This window comes from Homo sapiens, chromosome 1 (genome assembly GCF_000001405.40).
Source record: "Homo sapiens chromosome 1, GRCh38.p14 Primary Assembly".
Taxonomy (NCBI): Eukaryota; Metazoa; Chordata; class Mammalia; order Primates; family Hominidae; genus Homo; species Homo sapiens.
In genome coordinates this window covers 170,826,200-170,852,385 of record NC_000001.11, presented here as the reverse complement: position 1 = coordinate 170,852,385, position 26,186 = coordinate 170,826,200, and the positions used below count along the sequence as shown (strand labels likewise).

General features: G+C 37.7%; 1 annotated feature.

Annotated features, from left to right (window-relative positions):
• Positions 17,070-18,269: an enhancer, noted in NCBI's record as "BRD4-independent group 4 enhancer chr1:170803258-170804457 (GRCh37/hg19 assembly coordinates)". NCBI's record gives its function as "activates an origin of replication core promoter dependent on BRD2, P300/CBP, MED14 and CDK7 cofactors, and independent of BRD4, by STARR-seq in HCT116 cells {active_cell/tissue: HCT116}" and the evidence as "EXISTENCE:reporter gene assay evidence [ECO:0000049][PMID:35650434]".

Here is a 26,186-nt window from a genome sequence, read left to right as displayed (position 1 = left end):
TGTCTCTATGAGAGTTTTTTTTCTGTATATCTGTCATTTTTAACAGGTCAACAATTTGCTGGAGTACAGTGGGGAGGAGATTGGTGAGAATGAGTAATGCAGTCTGTGTTTTGGGGCTTATGTTATTTCTTTTTCCTTGGGGGACCATCTCAGCTTGGTTTTCAACATTCTAACAGATCATATCGATCACTGCAAAGCTCTTTCTATACTTGCCTGTGTTGTACATTTGTGGTTTCCTTTTCCCCTCCCTTTTCCACCTCTTTCTCTCTCTCTTTTTTTTAACCTTTGGCAGCCTGTCTAAGCCAGGAGACCAGAATATAGACAGTAGCTGCTCCCCTTATGTTATTTTGTGGTGTTTTACTAGGTATCTAAAGAGAAAAATCTTTGATTTTTCTAATGGCCAGTACCAACCCCTAGAGCTCCTTGCTCTAATTAAAAGACTATACAGGGCTTTTAGATTCCCAAACTAGGGTCTCTAACCAATAATATCAGCATTACCTATAGACTTGTTAGAACTGCAGTTTCTCAAGCCCCACCTGCTGAATGAGAAACTCTAGGGGTAGAAATGAGCAGTCTGTGCCTTTAGGAAACTCCCTAGGTGATTCTGATGCACACTAAAGCTTGAGAAACACTCTTTTAAAAGAATCTCCTCTCTAAAGCCAGGACTAAGGAGATTTGTCTCACTTCTGAGTTATCCTCGCTCATTTTAGAGCAAATTACACAAAATTTGGGGTTTAGGATTGTGGTTTAGGGTTGCAGCTCTTTGTCCTAAGAAGATGGAGGGTATTTTTTTCTCTTCTTATTGTTTTCAGTGTGATTTGAAAGAGAAGGCAGGAATAAAAACATACATTTAAGCCCACAATTTATAACTGGAATTCTAGGCCACTGATCTGAAAGACAGAGCTATATGGAAAAGGATGGGTTTTCTAGATATAAAATCATGTCATCTGCAAACAGTGACAATTTAACTTCTTTCTTTCCAATTTGGATGCCTTTTATTTTCTTTCTCCTGCCTGATTGCTCTGGCTAGGACTTCCAGTACTATGTTGAATAGGAGTGGTGAAAGTAAACATCTTTGTTTTGTCCCAGTTCTTAGAGGAACAGTTTTCAACTTTTCCCCACTCAGTAGGATATTAGCTGTGGATTTCTCATAGATGGTGGCATTTAGTGTGCTGAGCAAATTACATTCATTCTATACCTAATTTGTGAAGATTTTTTAATCATGAAGGGATGTTGAATTTTGTCAGATGTTCCTTCTACATCTATTGAAATGTTCGTATGGCTTTTGTCCATTCTATTAGTAAGAGTGTATTAGTCTGTTTTCACATTGCTGATAAAGACATACCCGAGACTGGGCAATTTACAAAGGAAAGAGTTTTAATGGAGAACTCATAGTTCCACATGGCTGGGGAAACCTCACAATTATGGAGGAAGGTAAGGAGGAGCAAGTCACATCTTATGTGGATGGCAGCAGACAAAGAGACAGCTTGTGCAGGCAAACTCGCGTTTTTTAAAAACCATCTGATCTTGTGAGACTCATTCACTATCAGGAGAACAGTGCAGGAAAGACCCACCCCCATAATTCAATCACCTCCCACAGGGTTTCTCACAGGACATGTGGTAATTGTGGGAGCTACAATTCAAGATGAGATTTGCGTGGGGACACAGAGCCAAACCATATCAGAGATGTATCATGCTTTTGATTTGTATACATTGCACCATCCTTGCATCCTTGGGATAAATCCTACTTGATCATGGTGACTAATCTTTTCAGTGTGCTGTTGAATTTGAACTCAGGTTGCTGGTATTTGGTTGAGAATTTCTGCATCTATGTTCATCAGGGATGTTGACTTGTAGTTTTCTTTTTTTTCCTTCTGGTTTTATTATTAAAATAATGCTGGCTTCATAGAATAAGTTTAGTAGAATTCTCTCTTCAATTTTTTTATATATAGTTAGGAAAAATTTGTATTAGAGTAGAGCTTTTTTAATGTTTGGTAGAATTCAGCACTAAAGCCATCAGGTCCTAGGCTTTTATTTTATTTTTTTTTTTGGAGACAGAATCTTGCTCTATCCCCCAGGCTGGAGTTCAGTGGTGCGATATTTTTAACAGAGATGGGGTTTTGCCACATTGGCCAGGTTGATCTCGAACTCCTTACCTCAGGTGATCTGCCTGCCTCGGCCTCCCAAAGTGCTGGGATTACAGGCGTGAACCACTGTGGTGGCCCTGGGCTTTCTTTCGATGGGAGACTTTTATTAGATTGGTGCAAAAGTAATTGCCATAATGGCAAAAACTGCAATTATTTTTGCACCAACTATAAAGTCTTCATTCTTTATTGGTATGTTCAGACATTCTATTCTTCACACTTTTGCACATAGAAAACCCTAAAGACTCCACCAGAAAAATTTAGAACTAATAAATGAATCTGATAAAGTTGCAGGAAATGAAATAAACATACAAAAATTAGTACATTTCTATACGCTAATAGAAAATTATCTTTCAAAAATCAATAAAACAATCTCATTTACAATAGCTACAAAAACCCTATGAATTAATTTAACCAAGGAGGTAAAAGATCTCTACAATGAAAATTATAAAACACTGATGAAAAATGGAAGAAGACACAAAGAAATAAAAAGATGGCTGTGTTCATGGATTGAAATAATTAATATTGTTTAAATGTCCATAGTATCCAAGGTGATTTACAAATTCAATGTATAATCTCTATCAAAATACCAATGGCATTCTTCATGGAAGTAGAAAAAAAATCCTAAAATTTGTATAGAACCACAAAAGACCCTGAATAGCCAAAGCATTCTTGAGCAAAAAGAATAAAGCTGGAAGTGTCACACTATCTGACTACAAAACGTGGTATAAAGCTATAACAACCAAAACAGTATGGTACTAGCAGGAAAACAGACACACAGACTAATGGAACAGAATTAAGAGCCCACAAATAAATCTATGCATTTACAACCAATTGATTTTTTTTTTTACAAAAGTGCCAGAAACATACGTTGGGGAAAGAATAGTGTTTTCAATAAATCATGCTAGGAAACTGGATATTCACATGTAGAAGACTGAAACTAGATGCTTATCTCTCACCACATTAAGAAAATCAAAATGGATTGAATACTTGAATGTAAAACCTGGAACTATAAAACTATTACAAAAAAACATAGGGGAAATGCTTCATGATATGGATATGGCCAAGGATATTTTGGATAAGTCATCCAAAGCACATGCAATAAATGCAAAAATGGACAAATGGGATTGTATCAAAGGAAAAAGCTTCTGCACAGGAAAAAAAAATCAACAGAGTGAAGAGACAACCTACAGAATGGGAGAAAATATTCATAACTATATATCTGACAAGGGTTTAATATCCAAACTATATAAGGAGCTGAATAGCAAAACAAAACAACATACAAACGAACCCCAAAACAATAAATGGGAAAAAAATACCTGAATAGACATTCTCAAGATATACAAATAGTCAATAGGTATGTGAAAATAATGCTCAACATCACTAAACATCAGGGAAATGCATATCAAAACCATAATGAGATGTGGCCTCCCTCCTGTTAGAATGGCTATTATAGGCCGGATGTGGTGGCTAATGCCTGTAATCCCTGCACTTTGGGAGGTTGAGGCGGGTGGATCACCTGGGTCAGGAGTTCGAGACCAGCCTGGCCAACATGAGGAAACCTCATCTCTACAAAAAATACAAAAAGTTAGCTGGGCACGGTGGCGGGCACCTGTAATCCCAGCTACTTGGGAGGCTGAGGCAGGAGAATCACTTGAACCTGGGAGGCAGAGGTTGCAGTGAGCCAAGGTCGCGCCACTGTACTCCAGCCTGGTCAACAAGAGCAAAACTCCACCTCGAAAAAAAAGAAAAAAAAAAGAAATGGCTATTATCAAAAGGACAAAAAATAAAAAGTGTTGACAAGGCTGTGGAGAAAAGGGAACCCTTAAACACTGTTGGTGGGAATGTAAATTAGTGCAGCCATTATGGATAATGGTATGGATGTTTATCAAAAAATTAAATATAGAACTACCATATGATCCAGAAATCCCACTACTGGCTATTTATCCAAAGGAAATAAAATCCATATGTTGAAGAGATACCTGCACTTCCATGCTTATTGCAGCACTATCTTCAAAAGCCGAGATATGAAATCAACCTAAATGTCCAGCAATGGATGAATGGTTAAAGAAAATATATACCCAATGGAATAGTATTGAGCTATAAAAACAAATGAAATCCTGTCATTTGCAACATGGTTGAACCTGGAGGACATGATATTAAGTGAAATAAGCCAGGCACAGAAAGATAAATACTGCATAGTCACACTTACACGTGGAAACTAAAGTTGAATTGATGAAATTAGAGAGTATAATGGTGGTTCCTAGAGGCTGGGGTGGTTGGGCAGGGGATGAGGAAATGTTGATCAAAGAATACATAAATACAGTTAGATAGGAGAAATAAATTTCAAGATACCTATTGTATAGCAAGGTGACAATAGTTAATTTGATATTTTATATTCTTTAAAAACGTAAAGAGAGTGGATGCTAAATGCTCTCACCACAAAAAAATGATAACCATGTGAGAGAATGCATTTGTTCATTAGCTAGATTTAACATTACACTATGTATATATACAAGTCAAAACATCATGTTGTATGTGGTGAAAACATATAATGTTATCTATCAACCTAAAAAAAAAAAAAAAGGAAAATGATAGGCTTAGCAGCTAGAGGCCCAGTTTGGTTCTCAGTTCTGCATCTCATTAGTTTATGACCTCTGACAAGCCACTTAACCTCTTCAGGCTCCTCTGAGCCATGTAAACTCCATGCCTTTGAGCAACAAAAATGCTCCTTGTGATTTTCCTCCTTAGCTCAAGTTTAAATGCCTCAAAAGATAACGTTTGTTTTCTTTCCTGTAAGAGGTCATCACTGGGGAGTGCTCACTGCCATAACCTTGAAGCCTAAACTAATTCTACTCTTAATTTATATTTATTCATGTTCAAAGACAGTGACACCTTCTTTCAGTGAGGGTAATTTATTCAAATTTCAAGTCTTTGTCAAAAGCTATGGAGCCCTGGCAAGGCCTGCTTTCCATTAATCCTGTAACTCTGGTTCTCTAGGGGAGAGAAGGTAGCTGACTCCTGCTAGCAGAGGGTGAGGTGGAGGCCAAGACACCATAAAATTTGTATATGATTTCTGACTTTTCCTGTGCCTCATCACATTTGAAATAATCACACCCCTTCTTCCTCGGCTAAATGATTGTTGTTAAAAATTTACCATAGTGCGGCCGGGCGCGGTGGCTCACGCCTGTAATCCCAGCACTTTGGGAGGCCGAGGCGGGTGGATCACCAGGTCAGGAGATCGAGACCATCCTGGCTAACACGGTGAAACCCCATCTCTACTAAAAACATAAAAAAAATTAGCCGGGCGTGGTGGCGGGGTCCTGTAGTCCCAGCTACTCGGGAGGCTGAAGCAGGAGAATGGCGTGAACCCGGGAGGCGGAGCTTGCAGTGAGCCGAGATCGCGCCATTGTACTCCAGCCTGGGTGACAGAGCCAGACTCTGTCTCAAAAAAAAAAAAAAAAAAAAAAATTTACCATAGTGCTCAGCTAACCCTTAACAAATATCCTAGCAGGCATATCCACAAAGAGAAGACTCCTGGCCTCTAGTTATTTCTAGGGATCCCTGCTCCCACATCCAAATGGATTCATTGCTTCCTTCATTTTATTGGTCACTGATTTAATGTCTAGGAAAGTGCCACTTGAAGTGGGCCTGTGAGCCAATCCATGACTGGTCGTTACCAGTGTGTGATGAGATAATCCTGGAAATGAAGAGTAAACATTGAGACATGTGTACAGCAATTTGCTTGACATTGCATGATATCCAAGCAGGTGGTCAATGGACTAGTCTCATTGAACAGAGGATAAGCCAATTTGAGTATGACTAACTCAGAAAGTGAGTTGCATGTACCTTGAGTTATATTTTTCATGTCAGCAAGGACTGGTTACATAATTTCCTGAGCCCAACACAAAATGGGGGGAACTGTGTGAATATACAGGTTGCATGCCCATGGAGTGAGACCTGAATGCATTGTAGAATAATGTTATGACATGACATGATTATTTTAAAGTTGGCTAATCATCTGGAAACTAAAAGCATGCAAAAATTTGAGAAAATATAAGCATATATTTTTATAACTTATCATTTTTATACTCAGCTTAAATTTAAATCAAGCCTGGTTTTCAGTTTAGCTGAATAGTATCAAGTATAATAGGATAGAAAATATTTGTCTTGTTTATTTTTAATTCTCATGTTCAGTTTGTACTATAAGTGTCACTGGATTTTTTTTGTCAAGAAAAGACACATCTCTTATGAATGTGGCAGTTGTAGAAAAGCAAATGTTGAAAACAGAAGTTATTTAAAAAATTGAAGATCCAAAGAGTTTGTATTGATTTGACATACAAGTGTGATCCCCCATATATTGATTTTGTAACCATAGTTGAGGTTGAAGTGTGTTATCGCAGAGATGTAGTAGCTAATAAAGCAATAAGACCATCAGAGCAAAAGTACTATTAACATATGAAACTTGAAGAACTACATGAAAACTCAAACACTGAAGAAATAATATTAAATTAGAAAGCTGACAGAGCATATGCTCAAATACTATGCTTGTAATGTATATAAGCATATATGAATATGTATAAATACTATACCTGTAAATACTAGGCCACTGTAGGTTTCTTGTAAAGTAATACTTCGTATTGCTAAAACAGACAAACAATAACAAACCCATGTAGGGCTTTGATGGTTTCATTCTTTATAAGCCAGTGCACCTCTGCAACAACACACTTCAACCTCAATACATTAATATGAGAATGTATTAAAGATGGATACTTTGAAATTTGGAATAAATCTGCAACCAAGAAGAGAACTCAAGTAGAACTCTCCAGTGATTCTGTTGGTTGGTGTGTTCAGGAATGAACTAGTGATAAGGAAGACAGATTTGTAGAAGAAATAAAGCTGGTAAATAATTTTTATTGCATTTTGACAAATGCACCGGCACCACTACCATGACAATTATTTTCATATATGTCCAATTTAATCGCGATACTATGAAGGAAGCACTTGACTTTCAGCTTCATTGCTGACAACCGCAGCTAACTTGTAACTACATAAAGCTCCTCAGAATTATATCATCTAAAATGTGGTTTGGAATTTAAGTTTTGTGTAGGAGAATGTTCTGATGGCACAGCTGCAATGATGAAAACATTTTGGAGTCTGTTGAAGATTATGGAGCTTGCACTAGAATGTAAACCAATGCACCAGTTTCTTCACCAAGAAAATGTTGTTATGAATAAAGTGTCTTCTGATCTAAACAGTGTGATTAGTGATATAGTAAAAATTGTGAAATGCTTAGAGACAAATGTGTTAAATTTGAGAATTCTCTTCATTATTATGATAATTTGTAAGCTGATAGTAAACAACTCTTGTATGCTGAGATACAATTGTCATCCAGGGGAAAAGTTATATTGGAATTATTTGAACTATGAAAGGAACTGTTAGTATTTCTGCAAGGTAAAAAACCAATTTGTTTCCATCTTCTTAAAGCTGTGAATTAAAAATTTAGACTTGCTGATTTTTACAGCATTGTAAAAATATCTTATCTGATAGCTACATTAGTATTTCTAATGATTTCAATAATTCCATTTAAGAAAAGAATGTGATGCATTTTTAAAAGGCACATAAGATTAAAGGACAAAAATGAAAGATAGAAGCTTGGAAAAACGGTTTCTACAGATTATTATGACAATTAATTTCACAATAATTTTCAATGAAATAATGATTCTGATATTGCTTATCTGCAAAAAATTACCTAATAGTTTAGAATGTGATAGAATTTTGGATTTTATTTTTCAACAAAAGGAGATGCATGCTTAGGAGAGTCATGAATCTGCAACCTATTTCTTTCTTTGAAAAATAATTTAAATTGAACTAGAAATTTTAGAATATATTGTTGGAACTGGGTACAGATGGATTGAATTTGAAAATTTAGCAACACTTGCTTTATTTATTTTGAATAAAAGATTAAAAATGACTATCCAGAGCTTGCTAAAATTGCTTTAATATATCATCTTCCATTCCTGTCAATAAAGCTCTGTAGGTCTGGTTTCTCTACTCTGAGTGTTATAAAAGCAAAATAAAAATAATTTAGATGCACGTTTTCTCATGGGAATAATGCTGTCGTAGGTCTCACCACTATTATATGAGAAAAAAGCAAACCCATTTATCACATTAATATTGATATACATAGATAGTATGTTTTCAAAGTGTGAATATGGCATTTAATCAGAAGGGCTATTTTACTTAAAACTTATTTAGTCATAATTGCAACTGACCAAAAATTACAAGTGTAATAGAAATTATCTATTTTAATCACCTGTCTGCACATTTCAGTGATAACTATAATTTTTCTGTTATGCTTATTCAAACTATATTAATTAAAAGGTAATGTTTGTTTGAATCTAATAATAAAAACTGGTTATTGTCTGTGTTTTTCAATTTTATTTTTGAATTATATTTTATTATACTTTACTAAAATATTAATTTGATGTGGACTGGAAATTTTAAAAAATTTAGGAAATTTTAAAAGAAATTTTTTAACTTAAAATTTTTAAATTAAGAAGTTTTTTCAGAACAGCATTGATTTTAAGAGGAAATTCAAAGCTTCCCTCACTCCATCTTCAGCAATGAGGAACTTTAATGTAGACAAAACAAGGGAATACATGTGGCAGATACTATCATTTGCCTAGCAAAAGTAAGTCCCATCCCTTAATTTTTAGGATCAAATCCCCAGTTACATTCTAAAATGCAACATGCCCAGTTAAAGCATTATGTTTACTAGCCTCTCTGAAAGTACTGGGTGGCCAATGAAATGTAAGCCAAAATTGTCTGGTGAGAACCCTGGAAAAATCTCCTAAGGGTATATGTTGGCAGGAGGCATGAGCCTATTTTGGTATTTTCCTCTTTTCCCTGTTTCCTGCTTGGAATAAAGGTATGATCTGTAGAGATGCAGTTGACATCAAGAGCTGATCTAGAGGATAATAACCACTGTTTTTTGTTTTTTTTTTATTATTATACTTTAAGTTTTAGGGTACATGTGCACAATGTGCAGGTTAGTTACATATGTGTACATGTGCCATGCTGGTGCGCTGCACCCACTAACTCGTCATCTAGCATTAGGTATATCTCCCAATGCTATCCCTTCCCCCTCCCCCCACCCCACAACAGTCCCCAGAGTGTGATGTTCCCCTTCCTGTGTCCATGTATTCTCATTGTTCAATTCCCACCTATGAGTGAGAATATGCAGTGTTTGGTTTTTTGTTCTTGCGATAGTTTACTGAGAATGATGATTTCCAATTTCATCCATGTCCCTACAAAGGACATGAACTCATCATTTTTTATGGCTGCATAGTATCCCATGGTGTATATGTGCCACATTTTCTTAATCCAGTCTATCATTGTTGGACATTTGGGTTGGTTCCAAGTCTTTGCTATTGTGAATAATGCCACAATAAACATACGTGTGTATGTGTCTTTATAGCAGCATGATTTATAGTCCTTTGGGTATATACCCAGTAATGGGATGGCTACCATCAGAGTGAACAGGCAACCTACAAAATGGGAGAAAATTTTCACAACCTACTCATCTGACAAAGGACTAATATCCAGAATCTACAATGAACTCAAACAAATTTACAAGAAAAAAACAAACAACCCCATCAAAAAGTGGGCAAAGGACATGAACAGACACTTCTCAAAAGAAGACATTTATGCAGCAAAAAAACACATGAAAAAATGCTCACCATCACTGGCCATCAGAGAAATGCAAATCAAAACCACAATGAGATACCATCTCACACCAGTTAGAATGGCAATCATTAAAAAGTCAGGAAACAGCAGGTGCTGGAGAGGATGTGGAGAAATAGGAACACTTTTACACTGTTGGTGGTACTGTAAACTAGTTCAACCATTGTGGAAGTCAGTGTGGCGATTCCTCAGGGATCTAGAACTAGAAATAACCACTGTTAAAAATAATGTACCAAAAACATAGAAAGAGTCAAAATTTCTGATAGCTAGGGTGATTTTATCATTGGAATATTAAAACAGGTCTGTTCTGAAGTGAGAGAAAATCAGTAAAATAATTCAGTATACTTTTGAAATATTTATTTCTTAATTTACAACTTGGTTTTATTCTATTGATGAACCTATAAACTAGTTTCATCCAAAAATATTTTGAAAAAGTGAATTTTTCTCTAATAAAATAACATCTATCTATATACTTAAAATTGTAAAAATTCTTAACTAGGCTGAGTGTAGTAGCTCATGACTGTAAACCCAACTACTTGGGAGGCTGAGCAGGTAGAAGGGATCACTTGAGGCCAGGAGTTTGGGACCAGCCTGGGCAACATAGCAAGACCCCATCTCTACAAAAATATTTAAAAATTAGCTAAGCATGGTGGCATGTGCCTATAGTCCCAGCTACTGGGGATGCTGAGGCAGGAGGATCGCTTGACCCCAGGAACTCAAGGCTGCAGTGAGCTATGATCATGCCACTGCACCCTAGCCTGAGTAACAGAGTAAGATGTCATTTTTTATTTAAAAACTAATAAATTCTTAAGTGGATTATCTGAATATTTAAAAATAACAAGCAGAATAATACCTTGATCAGGCTATTTTTCTGCAATATATTGTCTTGCCATATGGTCATATTATATTTATTTTTTCATAAAATTGTCTACAACCTGCCTTAATGTCTTTTACTTCATGCTTCTTCAATTGATGCGTCTCTGTAGACCATGTTACTTCTAATTGAGAAGATACTTTCCCACAGGTGGTAAGGTATCCATAAGTTGGAGCAAATTTCGCTGTATGGAGGGTATTCTACATTTAGGTTTCGTGGAATTGACAGGTGACTATCTCAGCCCATTTCACCTGTGCTATCTTTTTGTCTCCATCCAGTGTCCGTTTCTTCAAAAAAATAGTTTTACAAGACAAAACGTCAAATAAATTCTCTTCAGCCATAATTCTTTTGAATTTTTTGGTACACTTAAATGTTGAAAAATCGCTGACCATCTCAAAATTTTATTTCATCCTGGTATGATTGTAAATTCATTTTATGAAGAATAGAAGCTCTCTCCAAAAATTCTCAGCAAAATTGAGCTTTCCAAATTATAATTATAGAATTTTAAAATTAAATCTTACAAGCCATTTGAGCTTTGGTCATTATTTCGTTGTTATTTCACCCTGGCTTTTGGAGGTATGTATTCTAGTCTGTAAGCATTTTTTTTCAATATTGCAATCCTATAAAAGTCCCAAATCTATCATTTCGGGCCCTCTATTTATTGATTTTTTTTGGAATAAAAATTTTTCATGAATTTTTAGGAACCAAGAAAGGTTTTTTTAAAAGCTATGCATTTAACTCAAGAAATTTGTAATAGATCAGGAACAAACATCAAAAATAAGAAAGAAACTACACAATAAAATATTATTCAGCTGTAAAAAAATTAAATCCTGTCATTTGTAACAGGAAGAATGGAACTGAATGACATTATATTAAGTGAAATTAGCCAGACACAGAAAGACAAATATTACATGTTCTCATTTATATGTGGGGGCTAAAAATATAATCTCATGGAGATCGAGAGTAAAATGATGCTTACCATGAGCTGGGAAGGGTAGTGGGGGAGTAGGATCAAGAAGGATTAGTTAATTTGGTACAGAAATACAATTAGAAAGAAAGAATAAGGTCTAGTGTTTGGTAACACAATTGAGCCACTGTAGTTAACAATAATTTATTGTACATTTCAAAGTAACTAGAAGAGTGGAATTGTAATGTTTCTAAAACAAAGAAATAGTAAATGTTTAAGATGATAGATATCCCAATTACCCTGATTTGATCATTATACATTGTATGCTTGCATTAAAATATCACACATGACACATAAATATATACAAAGAATTAAATAAAACAAATAAAAGAACAGGAAAATTGATGAAAGAATAGCAGCCTAAACCTGAATCTGAAAAAAACCTCACTGATAGAGATAAATCTCATAAGATTAATCAAGGGAAAAAATAGAAGACGCCAATAAACAAAGTATAGGATGAAAAATGGGAAAGAAATACAAGCATGATAGAGGTTTTATATACACATATATGAATGTATACGACTATTTCGACATCTATGTACTAGTAAGTTTGAAAAGCTAAATAAAATAAATATATTACACTATATTTATAAAGTGTTATATTGGCACAAGAGTAGAGGACTTGAGTAGATAAATATTATTTAAATATACATATATATTTAAAGGTGATCAAAGACTTCTCTTCTTCAACAGCCTAGACTCATGTAACTTTATAGGTAAATTTTACTGTACTTTTAAGAAACCAAATCTTATCATATTGAAGCTTCCTCCTAAATAGTAAAAGAAGATAAAGCTGCCAAGACCATTTTTGAAGCTATTGTACTCTTGATTCCCAAACTAGAAAAGGACAGTGCCAGAAAAAAATATTATGATCCACTTCACTTTGGAACAGAATGTAAACATCTGAAATACAATGTTAACTAATAAAATCCAACATTATATTTTAAAAATAATAAGTGTAATTAAGAAGAAATTTCCTCCTTAATGAAAGAATGATTATTGATCAGGAAAATCTATCAACAAAATTATAAGAAATCTTTGATTATCTCAAAGCAGAAAACTATTTCATAAGGTTCAATACTCATTTGTGATTTTTAATTATAGCAAATTAGAACTATAAGAGGGCTTTTAAATTGAATATAAATATTCAAGTATAAAACTATACAACACATAGTCCAATTCTTTCGAGAACTGGAACAAGACAAGGTGATTTACTTTGAAAATATTACTCAGTATAGAAGTAGAAGTATTTGTCATTGCAATAAGGAGAAAAGGAGATAAAATCATCATTATTTGCAGAGGATATAATTGTCAACAAAACAACCAAAACTCTTACCACCAATAAGAGAATTCAGAAAGATTATCAGATAGAAGACAAACTTACAAAAATCAGCAGCATGCATTAATAACAACAATAACTAACCAGAAAAAAAGTATATAGAATAATGATTTTCACAATGTTAAGAAAAATAATCTCTAGGAAGTAATCTAAGCAAGAATACACAAAACTTCATGGCCTTTCGTAAGGAATAAAAACGATAATTTGATTAAATGGAAAGAAATTTCATGCACTGGGATAGAAGGCTTTTATTTTATAAATATGTCAATTCTTCCTCAAATTAATCTATTAAGTAAATGCAAGCTCAATCAAAATTACTATTTATTTTTATGTTTTTTCTATTTATAGTTTATATTTAAATTTTTAGGGAGGACCAAAAGCCTATGGATAATTATAGCAGATTAAAAATTTAAGAGTTAAATGTCAGTATTGTCATATCACATATTATGGCACACTCCAAAGCTGGAGCAATTAGAAAATATGGCATTGGTATAAGGTCAAATAGGTGGTCAACATCATTGATCATCAGAGAAATGCAAATCAAAACTACAATAAGGTATCCTACTTCTCCAGTTAAAATGGCTTATATCAAAAAGACAGGCAATAACAAATGGTTGTGAGGATGTGGAGGAAAGGGAACCCTCGTACACTGTTGGTGGGAATGTAAATTAGCACAACCACTATGAAGAAGACCTTGGAGGTTCCTCAAATAATTAAAAATAGAGCTATCATATGATCCAGCAATTCCACTCCTAGGTATGTACCCAAAAGAAAGGAAATCTGTGGCAGACTGCCACAATTACTACTTGAGACCGTCACTACGACAGTTACTACTGTTACTACGTGAGACCGTCATTGAGACTGTCATTATGAGACTGGACGAAGGGACAAATGTAGAAATGAAAACTTAAAGACAAAATAAACCATTTTAAAGGAAGGGTCCAGGGGAAGAAGAAGAGAGCTCCCTGCTTCTAGTGAGCAAAGGCAGCCTCCCCTGAGCTTCCACAGCCCTTCATATTTATTGGGTAGGATAAGCAGGGAGGAGGAGGTAATGATTGGTCAGCTGCTTAATTGATCACTGGTTCATATTATTACTAACAGGCTTCAGATGTGCTTAATTACAAGAAACACTGCGCTTGGGGCATGACTGCCCTCAGCATTCCTTCTGGGTGGCAGACGCAATTTCTCAGCTTGCCAACATTCTGCATGCATGAGAAACAGTTTGCTGCTTACTCATATAGCCTCCAGTGGTATACTGAGTTGATCACGACCCTCACTCTTTCAGCCTGTAACAGAAATCAGTGTATCAAAGGGATATCTGCACTCCCATGTTTGTTGCAGCACTGTTCACAATAGCCAAGATTTGGAAGCAACCTAAGTGTCCATCAACAAATGAATGGATAAAGAAAATGAGGTACATATACACAATGGGGTACTATTCAGCCACAAAAAAGAATGAGACCCTGTCATTTGCAATAACACGGATGGAACTGGAGATCATTATGTGAAGTGACATAAGCCAGGCACAGAAACACAAACATTGCATGTTCTCTCTTATTTGTGAAACCAAAAAATTAAAACAATTGAACTCATGGACATAGAGAGTAGAAGGATGGTTCCCATAGGCTGGGAAGGCTAGTTGGGGGATAAGGGGGAGGCGGGAATGGTTAATGGGTACAAAAAAAAAAAAATAGAAAACTAAGACCTACTATTTGATAGCATAGCAGGGTGACTATAGTCAATAATAAGTTAATTGTATATTTTAAAATAATTAAAAGAGTATAATTGGACTGTTTGTAACACAAAGAATAAATGTTTGAGGAGATGGATACCTCATTCTCCATGATGTAATTATTATGCATTGCATGCCTGTACCAAAACATTCCATATACCTGCATTATACCCATAAGATTAAAAATTTTAACATTAAAAAAACAAAAGGTCAAATAGACTGATAGAACAGAATAAGGAATACCGAGACAAAGCCATTTGCGTTGAGCAAATTAATGTACAGTAAAGGTGATATCAGAAATCAATGGAAGGGGGGAGATAAATTCTTTGACAGATGATATTAGAAAGCTGGCTCAACATATGAAAAAATACTGAATTCCTACACATCACATATAAAGATGAATTGTACATTAAATTAAAAATTTTAAAAATGAATATTAAATTTATGTAGTTAATGGAAAAGTGCAATTGAATAATTTGGATTAATATTTCTTAAACCATATTAAATAATGTAAGGCAACCTAATTCTACCTTTTTCTCTCTCTTCACACACACACACACACACACACACACAAACACATACACGCACACACACTCTCTCTCTCTCCCCATCTTGCTCTCTCTCTCTCTCATATGTATATAATTACATCTAAATTAATGCTTCCCATTCAATGAAAGACACTTAGGAAAAGTTAACAGTGGCTGGGCGTGGTGGCTCACACTTGTAATCCCAGCATTTTGGGAGGCCGAGGCAGGTGGATCACCTGAGGTCAGGAGTTCAAGACCAGCCTGACCAGCACGGTGAAACCTCATCTCTACTAAAAATACAAAAAATAATTAGCCAAGCGTAGTGGTGTGTGCCTGTAATCCCAGCTACTCAGAAGGCTGAGGCAGGAGAATCACATGAATGATTCTCCTGAGGATGAGGTAGGGGTTGCAGTGAGCCAAGATCATGCCATTGCCATTGCGCTCCAGGCTGGGCAACAAGAGCGAAACTCTGTCACAAAAAAAAAAAAAAAAAAAAAAAAAAAAAGTTAACAGATGGATGAAATCATAGGAAATTATATTTCTGATGCCAAAAACTAAAATGTAATTATTTAGAATTTATTGGAAACTCTTCATAATTAACAAGAAGACAAAAATACTAAAAGGTATAAAAACATTTGACAGAAGTGGAACCCCAAAGGACTAACAAGCACATGAACAAGCTACTTAGAATCATGACTCATCAGAGAACACAGGCTAGATTAGTGAGCTATTACTTTTATGTATTTGACTGGCAAAAGAAAAATGGGTTGGGAAAGGGTTGGAATGCCAAATATTAGAGAGAATGAGGGGATATAGGAACCCTCAATACTACAATGAACACATAACAAAGTCAACTGCTGCAGCTATTCTGGACAGCAAACTGACACTATATGCATAAGTCACCCATCTGTACCCCCGGGACCTGGCAATTCTGTCTAGCCATATTTACCAAAGACTACTCACTCAGGTCAATAAGAGGGCATACTGAAGATGTTCAATTCTGTGTATTCATGATGGTGGGTGTTTGATGATGAGAAGTTTGAAGCACTGTAGGTGTCCATTTCAGGACAATGGTTAGAAAAATGTGCTGAATGAAAATCATGCAGCAGTTAGAAGTAACCAAGTAGATGAATAGAAAGCAACTTCAACAGATATACATTACTTAATGAAAAGAAAGGGGAAACAACATGTAATACAAAAATGATCCATCATAAAATTAGTTAGGGTGGAGTCCCTCTTTTTCTACTGTTTGGAATAGTCTCAGAAGGAATGGTACCAGCTCCTATTTGTACCTCTGGTAGAATTCGCCTGTGAATCCAACTGGTCCTGGGCTTTTTTGGGTTGGTAGACTATTAATTGGTGCCTCAATTTCAGAATTGTTATTGGTCTGTTCAGGGATTAGACTTCTTCCTGGTTTAGTCTTGCAAGGGTGTATGTGTCCAGGAATTTATCCATTTCTTCTAGATTTTCTAGTCAAAAAGCTGGCAAATGATATGAAAAGACACTTCTCAAAATAAGACAATTATGCGGCCAACAAACACATGAAAAAAAGCTCATCATCACCGGTCATTAGAGAAATGAAAATCAAAACCACAATGAGATACCATCTCACGCCAGTTAGAATGGTGATCATTAAAAAGTCAGTAAACAACAGATGCTGGAGAGGATGTGGAGAAATAGGAATGCTTTTACACTGTTGGTAGGAGTGTAAATTAGTTCAACCATTGTGGGAGACTGTATGGTGATTCCTCAAGGATCTAGAACCAGAAATACCATTTGACCCAGCAATACCATTACTGGGTATATACCCAAAGGATTATAAATCATTCTACTATAAAGACACATGCACATGTATGTTTATTGCAGCACTGTTCACAATAGCAAAGACTTGAAACCAACCCAAATGCCCATCAATGATAGACTGGATAAAGAAAATGTGGCACATATACACCATGGACTACTATGCAGCCATCCTTTGCAGGGACATGGATGAAGCTGGAAACCATCATTCTTAGCAAACTAACACAGGAACAGAAAACCAGACACTGTATATTCTCACTCATAAGTGGGAGTTGAACAATGAGAGCACATGGATACAGGGAGGGGAACATCACACACTGGGGCCTGTCAGGGGGTGGGGGGCTAGGGGAGGGATAGCATTAGGAAAAATACCTAATGTAGGTGATGGGTTGGTGGGTGCAGCAAACCACCATGGCGTGTGTACACCTATGTAACAAACCTGCATGTTCTGCACATGTATCCCAAAACTTAAAGTATAATTTTAAAAAAGATCCCAATACCACTTAAAATGCATGCTATGTTAGTCCATTTTCATGCTGCTGATAAAGACATACCTGAGACTAAGCAATTTATAGAAGAAAGAGATATAATTGGACTCACAGTTCCATGTGGTTGGGGAGGCCTCAATCATGGTGGAAGGCAAGGAGGAGCAAGTCACATCTTACGTGGATGGTGGCAGGCAAAGAGGAAGAGTTTTGCAGGGAAACTCCTCTTTTTAAAGCCATTGGATCTCATGAGACTTATTCACTATCACGAGAACAGCACAGGAAAGACCTGGCCCCATGATTCAATTACCTCCCACTGGGTCCCTCCCACAACACGTGGGAATTCAAGATGAGATTTGTGTGGGGACACAGTCAAATCATATCATTCCACCCCGGCCCCTCCCAAGTATCATGTCCTACCATTTCAAAACCAATCGTGTCTTCCCAACAGTCCCCCAAAGTCTTATTTCAGCATTAACTCAAGATTCCACAGTCCAAAGTCTCATCTGAGATAAGGCAAGTCCCTTCCACCTATGAGCCTGTAAAATCAAAAGCAAGTTAGTTACTTCATAGATACAATGGGGACACAGGCATTGGGTAAATACAGCCATTCCAAATGGGAGATATTGTGCAAAACTAAGGGGCTACAGGCCCAATTCAAGTCTGAAATCCAGTGGGGCAGTCAAATCTTAAAGCTGCAAAATGATCTTTGACTCCGCATCTCACATCGGGGTCATGCTGATTTAAGTGGTGCATTCCCGTGGTCTTGGGTAGCTTTGCCCCTGTGGATTTGCAGGGTAAAACCTCCCTCATAATCATGACTAATCAGATTATGCTTGGTGAATCATATATGTCTAAGCATGACTAGCTGCTTTCATGGACTGGCATTGAGTGTCTGCAGCTTTTCCAGGTGCATGGTGCAAGCTGTTGGTGGATCTACCATTCTGAGGTCTGGAAGATGGTGGCCCTCTTCTCACAGCTCCACTAGGCAGTGCCCCAGTATGGACTCTGTGTGGGGATTCTGATCCCACATTTCCCTTCCACACTGCCCTAGTGGAGGTTCTCCATGAGGACACTGCCCCTGCAGCAAACTTCTGCCTAGGCATCCGGGTATTTTCATGCATCCTCTGAAATCTAGGCAGAGGCTCGCAAACCCCAGTTCTTGATTTCTATGTACTCGCAGGCTCAACACCACATGGAAGCTGCCAAGGCTTGGGACTTACACTCTCTGAAGCCATGGTCTGAGTTTTACATTGGCCACTTTCAGCCACAACTGGAGTGGCTAGGACACAGGGCACCAAGTCCCTAGGCTGCACACAGCACAGGGACCCTCGGCCCAGTCCACAAAACCGTTTTTGCCTCCTACGTCTCCAGGCCTGTGATGGGAGGGGCTTCCATGAAGACATCTGACATGCCCTGGAGACATTTTCCCCATTGTCTTGGGGAATAACATTCAGCTCCTCATTATTTATGCAAATTTCTGCAGCCGCTTGACTTTCTCCTCAGAAAATGGGATTTTCTTTTCTATCACATCATCAGGCTGCAAACTGTCTGAGGTTTTATACTCTGCTTCTCTTACAAAACTGAATGCCTTTATCAGCACCCAAGTGGAATGCTTTGCTGCTTAGAAATTTCTTCCACCACATACCCTAAATCATCTCTCTTAAGTTCAAAGTTCCACAAATCTCTAGGACAGGGGCAAAATGCCACCAGTCTCTTTGCTAAAACATAACAAGAGTCACCTTTGCTCCAATCTCCAACAAATTCCTCATCTCCATCTGAGACCACCTCAGCCTGGATTTCATTGTCCATATCATTATCAGCATTTTTGTCAACAAGTCTCTAAAGAGTTCCAAACTTTCTCACATTTTCCTGTCTTCTGAGCCTTCCAAACTGTTCTAACCTCTGCCTGTTACCCAGTTCCAGTTGCTTCCACATTTTCAGTTATCTTTTCAGCAGCATCCCCCTCTACTGGTACCAATTTACTATATTAGTTCATTTTCACACTGCTAATAAAGACATACCTGAGACTGGACAATTTACAAAGGAAAGAGGTTCCATGTGGTGGGGGAAGCTTCACAATCATGGTTCAAGGCAAGGAGAGGCAAGTCACATCTTATGTGGATGGCGGCAGACAGAAAGAGAGCTTTTGCAGGGAAACTCATTTTTAAAACCATCAAATCTTGTGAGACTTATTCACTAGCATGAGAACAGCACAGGAAAGACCAGCTCCCATGATTCTATTACCTCCAACCAGGTACCTTCCACAACATGTGGGAATTCAAGATGAGATTTGGGTGAAGACACAGCAAAATCATATCACATGTCATGATAAGTACACAATATATATTTTGCAAGAACATATTAAAACTGTTATACACCCACCTGAGAATGTTTGTCTATGTGTAGAGAGAACATAGAACATAGAGTGGGATATAGGAATTTAAGTGTGGATGCAGTGAAAAGGGCTCACTCATACACTGCTGGTGGGAATGTAAATTAGTATAACCACTAAGAGAGATGGTATGGAGATTTCTCAAAAAGCTAAAAGTAGATCTACCATTTAATCTAGCAATCCCACTACTGGGTATCTACCCAAAGGAAAAGAAGTCATTATATAAAAAAAGACACCTTCTCATGCATGTTTATTGCAGCACAATTCATAATTGCAAAGTTATGGAAACAACTTAAGTGCCCATCAACAAATGAGTGGATAAAGAAAATATGATGTCTATATACCATGGAATATTACTCAGCCAAAAAAAAGTGAAATCATGTCTTTTACAGCAACTTGGATGGAACTGGAGGCCATTATCCTAAGTGAAGTAAATCAGAAACAGAAAACCAAACACCACACGTGGCTTTTAAGTGGAAGCTAAGCTATGGGTATGCAATGGCATACAGAGTGGTATAATGGAAATTGGAGTTTCAGAAGTGGGGAGGGTGGGAGAGGGCTAAGGGATGAAAAGCTACCTGTTGTGTACAATCTACACTGTTCAGGTGATGGGTACATTAAAAGCCCAGACTTCACCACTATATAATTTATCTGTGTAGCCAAAAACCATGTGTACCCATGAAAGTATTGGAAAAAAAAATTTTTTTTTGAGATGGAGTTTTGTTCTTGTTGCCCAGGCTGAAGTGCAGTGGCACTCTCTCTGCTCACTGCAACCTCCACTCCCAGGTACACGTGATGCTCCTGTCTCAGCCTCCCAGGTAGTTAGGATTACAGGTATGCGCCACCATGCCGGGCTAATTTTTTTGTATTTAGTAGAGACGGGGTTTCACCATGTTAGTCAGACTGGTCGCGACCTCCTGACCTCAGGCATGTGCCTGATTACAGGTGTGATTACAGGTGTGCACCACCACACCCAGCCTGGAAAAAAAATTCAATAAGATAAAATCAAAACATTTTAAAGGTATGAATAAACAAACAATAAGTAAAACAAGAAAAGACGTATGAATGGACTCAAGATGGTAAAGTGCCATGAACTGAGAAAATCAATGAATTTTTTTTTTTTTTAGACAGTCTTACTGTATGGCCCAGACTGGAGGGCAGTCGCACAATCTTGGCTCACTGCAACCTCCACCTTCCAGGCTCAAGTGTTCCTTTCACCTCAGTTTCCCAAGTAGCTTGACTATAGGTGCCTGCCACCAGGCCCGGCTAATTTTTGTACTTTTTGTAGAGATGGGGTTTTACCATGTTACCCAGGCTGATCTTGAACGCCTGGGCTCAAGTGATCTGCTTACCTCAGCTTCCCAAACTGCTGGGATTACAGTCATGAGCCACCACACTCAGCCAACAGATGTTTTTATGTTTGTATGCATCAATGCACCTGAAGTAAAAACAAAAAACTATATAAAAGAAAATGAAGAAAGAAGAAAAGAAAGGATGGAGGGAGGAAGGGAGAGAGAAGGAGAAGGCAACACAGGGGCACCAGGGTGTGGCTCAGATAAAATGAAAAGGAACTGATGGCAAAGACAAGTTCTGCTTCCAGCTATAGGGAGGGAAGAGGAATTCTCTTTGACTCCTTCCTTTTCTCACAAAGGTGACATTCAGGATAATGAGGGGGCCACATTCAATGTGTCTCTACGTATGTTTTCTTCTAAGGAACAAGGCCAATTATGAGAAAAGCATTTGTCATTTGTAGCCTCCGACATCTTGACACCATCCCTGTATTTTAGTAGTTCTCCGCCGTGTTCATCTTGCCTTTCACAGGAAGATGTCAGAACATTCATTTTCTCAGTTCACTTGCAGCTAGGCTGTAGACATGTGACCTGGATCATCACTCAGACATATTCATTTGAGATTTTAATTTGGTAAGTGTATTAGTCAGAGTTTTTCAGAGAAACATAAGGAATAGTACATTGTGTATATATACATACATATATATATAAAATATATATTTTTAAAATGAGACCAAGATTTATTATAAGGAATTGGCAGCAGGGCACGGTGTCTCATGCCTATAATCCCAGCACTTTGGGAGGCCAAGGCTAGCAGACCACTTGAGTTCAGGAGTTCAAGACCAGCCTGGCCAATGTGGTGAAACCCTGTCTCTACTAAAAATACAAAAATTAGCTGGTCATGGTGGCATGCACCTGGAATCCCAGCTACTTGGCAGGCTGAGGTGGGAGAATTGCTTGAACCTGGGAGGTGAAAGTTGCAGTGAGCCAAGGTCATGCTGCTGCACTCCAGCCTGGGCAACAGAACGAGACTCCATCTCAAAAAAAAAAAAGGGGGAATTGGCTCATGTAATTATGGAGACTGACAAGTTCCAAAATCTGCAGTCAGCAAACTGGACACCCAGGAGAGCTGATGATATGGTTTCAGTCTAAATGCTGGCTGGCTCAAGACCCACAAAGAGCCAATATTTCAGGTGAGTGGGAAAGCAGAAAAAACAAACAAACAGCAACAACAAAAAAAAACCTATGTCTCAGGTCAAAAGCAGTCAGGCAGGAGGTAGGATGAATTCCTCCTTACTCCAGAGAGGGTAAGAGTTTTGCTCTATTCAGGCCTTTACCTGATGGGATGAGGCCCAGCCACAATGGGGAAGAGGATCTCCTTTAGTCAGTCTACCAATTCAAATGTTAATCCCATCTAGAAAACCCTCACAGACATTCCCAGAATAATATTCCACCAAATGTTGGAGCACTCGTAACCCAGTGAAGTTGACATATAAAATTAACAATCATAGTAAGCAATGCCAGAAAGAGTATGCATGAGAAATCGAGCACCTTGGTGGTCACACAGATGGTGGCATCTGCTTCTTTGTGGCTAGCAAGAGAAGACCTTCTAGCATTCCATTGTTCATCGTGGATAGACACTATAGCAGTGGTGTTGAGAGGTGGCAGCAGCACTGCTTTGCTAAAACACCTGTAGCATGGTTGGGCATGGTTCCTGGCTGGGCTGTTATGTTCCTAGTTTGGCTCTTCAGCTCTCCCAAGTCTCTGTGAGTGTCCTATCTCCTTTAATATTTACAAGGGATGACTTGTTTTTCCTTTGTAACTAATAATCCTGATTGATACAGGCCCACAAATACCACTTTCAGATTATAACTTTTTGCACTGCACAAATACATATTAATGCAAGGCACTGCACTACATGATGGGAGTACAAACGCAAAAGACTTCCTGCTCTTCTGAGCATTTGAGTGGGGCTATGCCAGTTCTCTAAGATAGAAAACCAGATTGGAGTCAGACCGTGATAAGCAACAACTCTATGGACAAAAGCCATGTGCCAAGAATGGTAGGGCAGAGAAATGGAGAGTCTTCCTCCTTAAATCATCACTGAATCATCTTTAAGTGACCATACTGCCCTGGATTGCTTTTCTTCAGATATCTTAAGTGGAGGCAAAAACAACTCAAACCCCTTTTCTGTATAGGAGTAGTACACAGCCAGGGACTATTTTCCCCCAAAGATACATTTCTATGAGACATTTTCAGTTTGTACAACGAGGGGAGTACTACTGGCATTTAGTGAGCAGAGGCCAAGAATGATGCTAAACATTTCACAACGCACAGGACAGCCCCTCACAACAAGGAATTATCTGGTTCAAAATGTCCATAGTGCTGAAGTTCAGAAACCTTGCTTTATAGCTATGCTTTGTCAGGTTCTGTATAACTAACAACAGAGCACAATCATATCTGATATGGGTAGGAAGTATTGTTATTCTCATTTTACATATGGAAAAACTAATGTATGGAGTTAAGTAACTTGCCTACATCTTTGTGGCATAGGCACATCTCTCCTGGACTTATTTCAGTGTCTATGGCAATATACATTTTACCTGGTTGCTATCCAGCTAAGGCTTTACTTCTCAGACTCCATTTCAGCAAAAGAGAGCCATGTGATCAAGTGCTGGTTGAAGGGCTATGACCAGAAATGATTAATACAACTTCTTGATTATGCCCCTTAGTGGTAGAGATAAGCCTTCCCTTCCTTCTCATGTCCACTGTCTAGAATGCAGACATGATAATGTGAACTGGAGCAAGCCTTCTTGGAGCAAGAGTTGGAAACATATTGAGGGTGGAAAGGCTGTTTGAAAAAAAGGTCCTGCATTCCTAATACTGGTGGAGCTTCCATAACAGCTCTGGACCATCTATCTGGAATTAACAGCCCAAACCACCTCACCCAGAGTTTTACATGTTATATAAACTAATTTCTAACTTGTTTAAGGCACTGATTTTTTGAATCCCTTTGTTATAGAAGCCATGTCTGTAGCCTAACTAATACAGATACACAGTTACCAAATGGAGGACTAGAATTCAAACCCAAGTGCACCTTCATGTGCATGGAACCCATGCCCTTAACCACTTGTACTATACAGAAACCACTGTGTCTCTTTGTCTTCCTCCTTCTCGCAACATTACCCTATCCCTCCCACAATAGCCTCTCTTTATTACTGATTGAGGCATTCCAAAAAATCGACTGCCTCTCCTCCTTCCTCACTCCAGTCCTGCACAGAGTAAATTATATTCCTATAGGAGCAACATCAGAAACTCTAAAGAATTCTTTCTCCATTGACTTTATCAGCTATTGTTCCAGAAGTAGTGAGCCAGATCTCAGTAAAATGAAGCTGTTAGACTGAATGATATCCAGGATCTATTTAGGACCCAGAATGTTCTCATACTCTCAGGTAGTTTCTTATTACGGTCACAGGCAGAGAAGATGCAAAAAAAATATCATACAAGTATATGTCACTCCTTAGCGAAGTAAAACCTACAGGCCATTTCAGGTTCATATGTCATGCTATGCATACTTCCCCAGAGGAGAGGATATATTTTATTTTAAATATATAATTTAGGACTTACACCTGAAAATATGACTGATGGGCTTCCCTTTCACAAGCCAAAACTATTTTCAAAGACAGCATGTCTCATATTTCCCAGAGGAAGAGGTGAAGCAGGCTAAAATGAGTTAGAGTTCTGATGGGAAATGGGGTGTGAAAGACCTTTTTCACAGCACGGTTTTACTTTAAAGGAATATATATGTTTTAGAAAGTTAGTGACCCAAAGAATTATCCTCCAAGGTCTTTAATATTTTCAAGGCAAAGGCATATATTATCTGTGCATAAAAGACTGGAGAGAAGAAAACTAAGGTCTCAGGATGAAAAATCCTGAGAAAGGTCATACTCAGTGTCATAGCAGTGTGGCACAGGTTTCTTGGAAACTGGATTCAGGTTTATACAATTTAGAGATTATCTAATATATTTCATATATCATTAATATGTATTAGGCATTTCATGTAAGAGCAACACTGAAATCCAAATTTGAGAAAGAGAACGATCAAGCAATGTGACTTTCTTTACGGAAAGGTCAGTGTAGAGTTCATTTTGACGAGTTCCCCAGTGCAATTCCAGGTTGGTATTCTATTTAGAATGCTCTTGCTTGCAGGAAGCAGAAAAAATGCAAGTATGAGTGGCTTAAATGTTAAGTAATGTTGAGGTTCTCACATGACAGGAAATCTTAAGGTAGGACAGTTCAGGAGTTGACCTATTCAAAACTCAGGGAGGTCATCAGGAACCAGATGCATCTGTCTGTCCCCTCTGCCGTCTTCATCATACTGACACTCCTTGTGGACCCAAGATGGTCAAAGCAGATGAAAAGATGAAATGCTGATGACAGCATGGAGACAGACATGCCACAACCTCTCAATGTGTCCTTTTTTTAAAAAAAAAAACAGGATGCACTGTAGTAGACTTTCCTTTAAATATTATTGGCAAATTGGTTTTATACGCCCATTCCTAAATGAGCTCCTAGAAAGGGGAATAGGATTACTATCCTTGCTTAGACTAATACAGATTGCCTTTGTGGATCAGGGAAGCTCAGCTTTCTCTAAAACACAAGGCCACCAAATATCTAAACAAAAGGAATTATATTTTCAGTAAAGCCGAAGAGGAAGATTGGATAGGGAACCAATGACGTCCTTCAGGTTTTGCATTTGTCTTAAATACTTTCAAGGCAAAGGCATACATGGAGAGAGGTTTATAACATCTGCATATATAAGACTGAACGGAAAACAGTTGAAAGATCTGTAACAACTTAGAGTGAATTGAAAGTGGCAAGTGGGTGC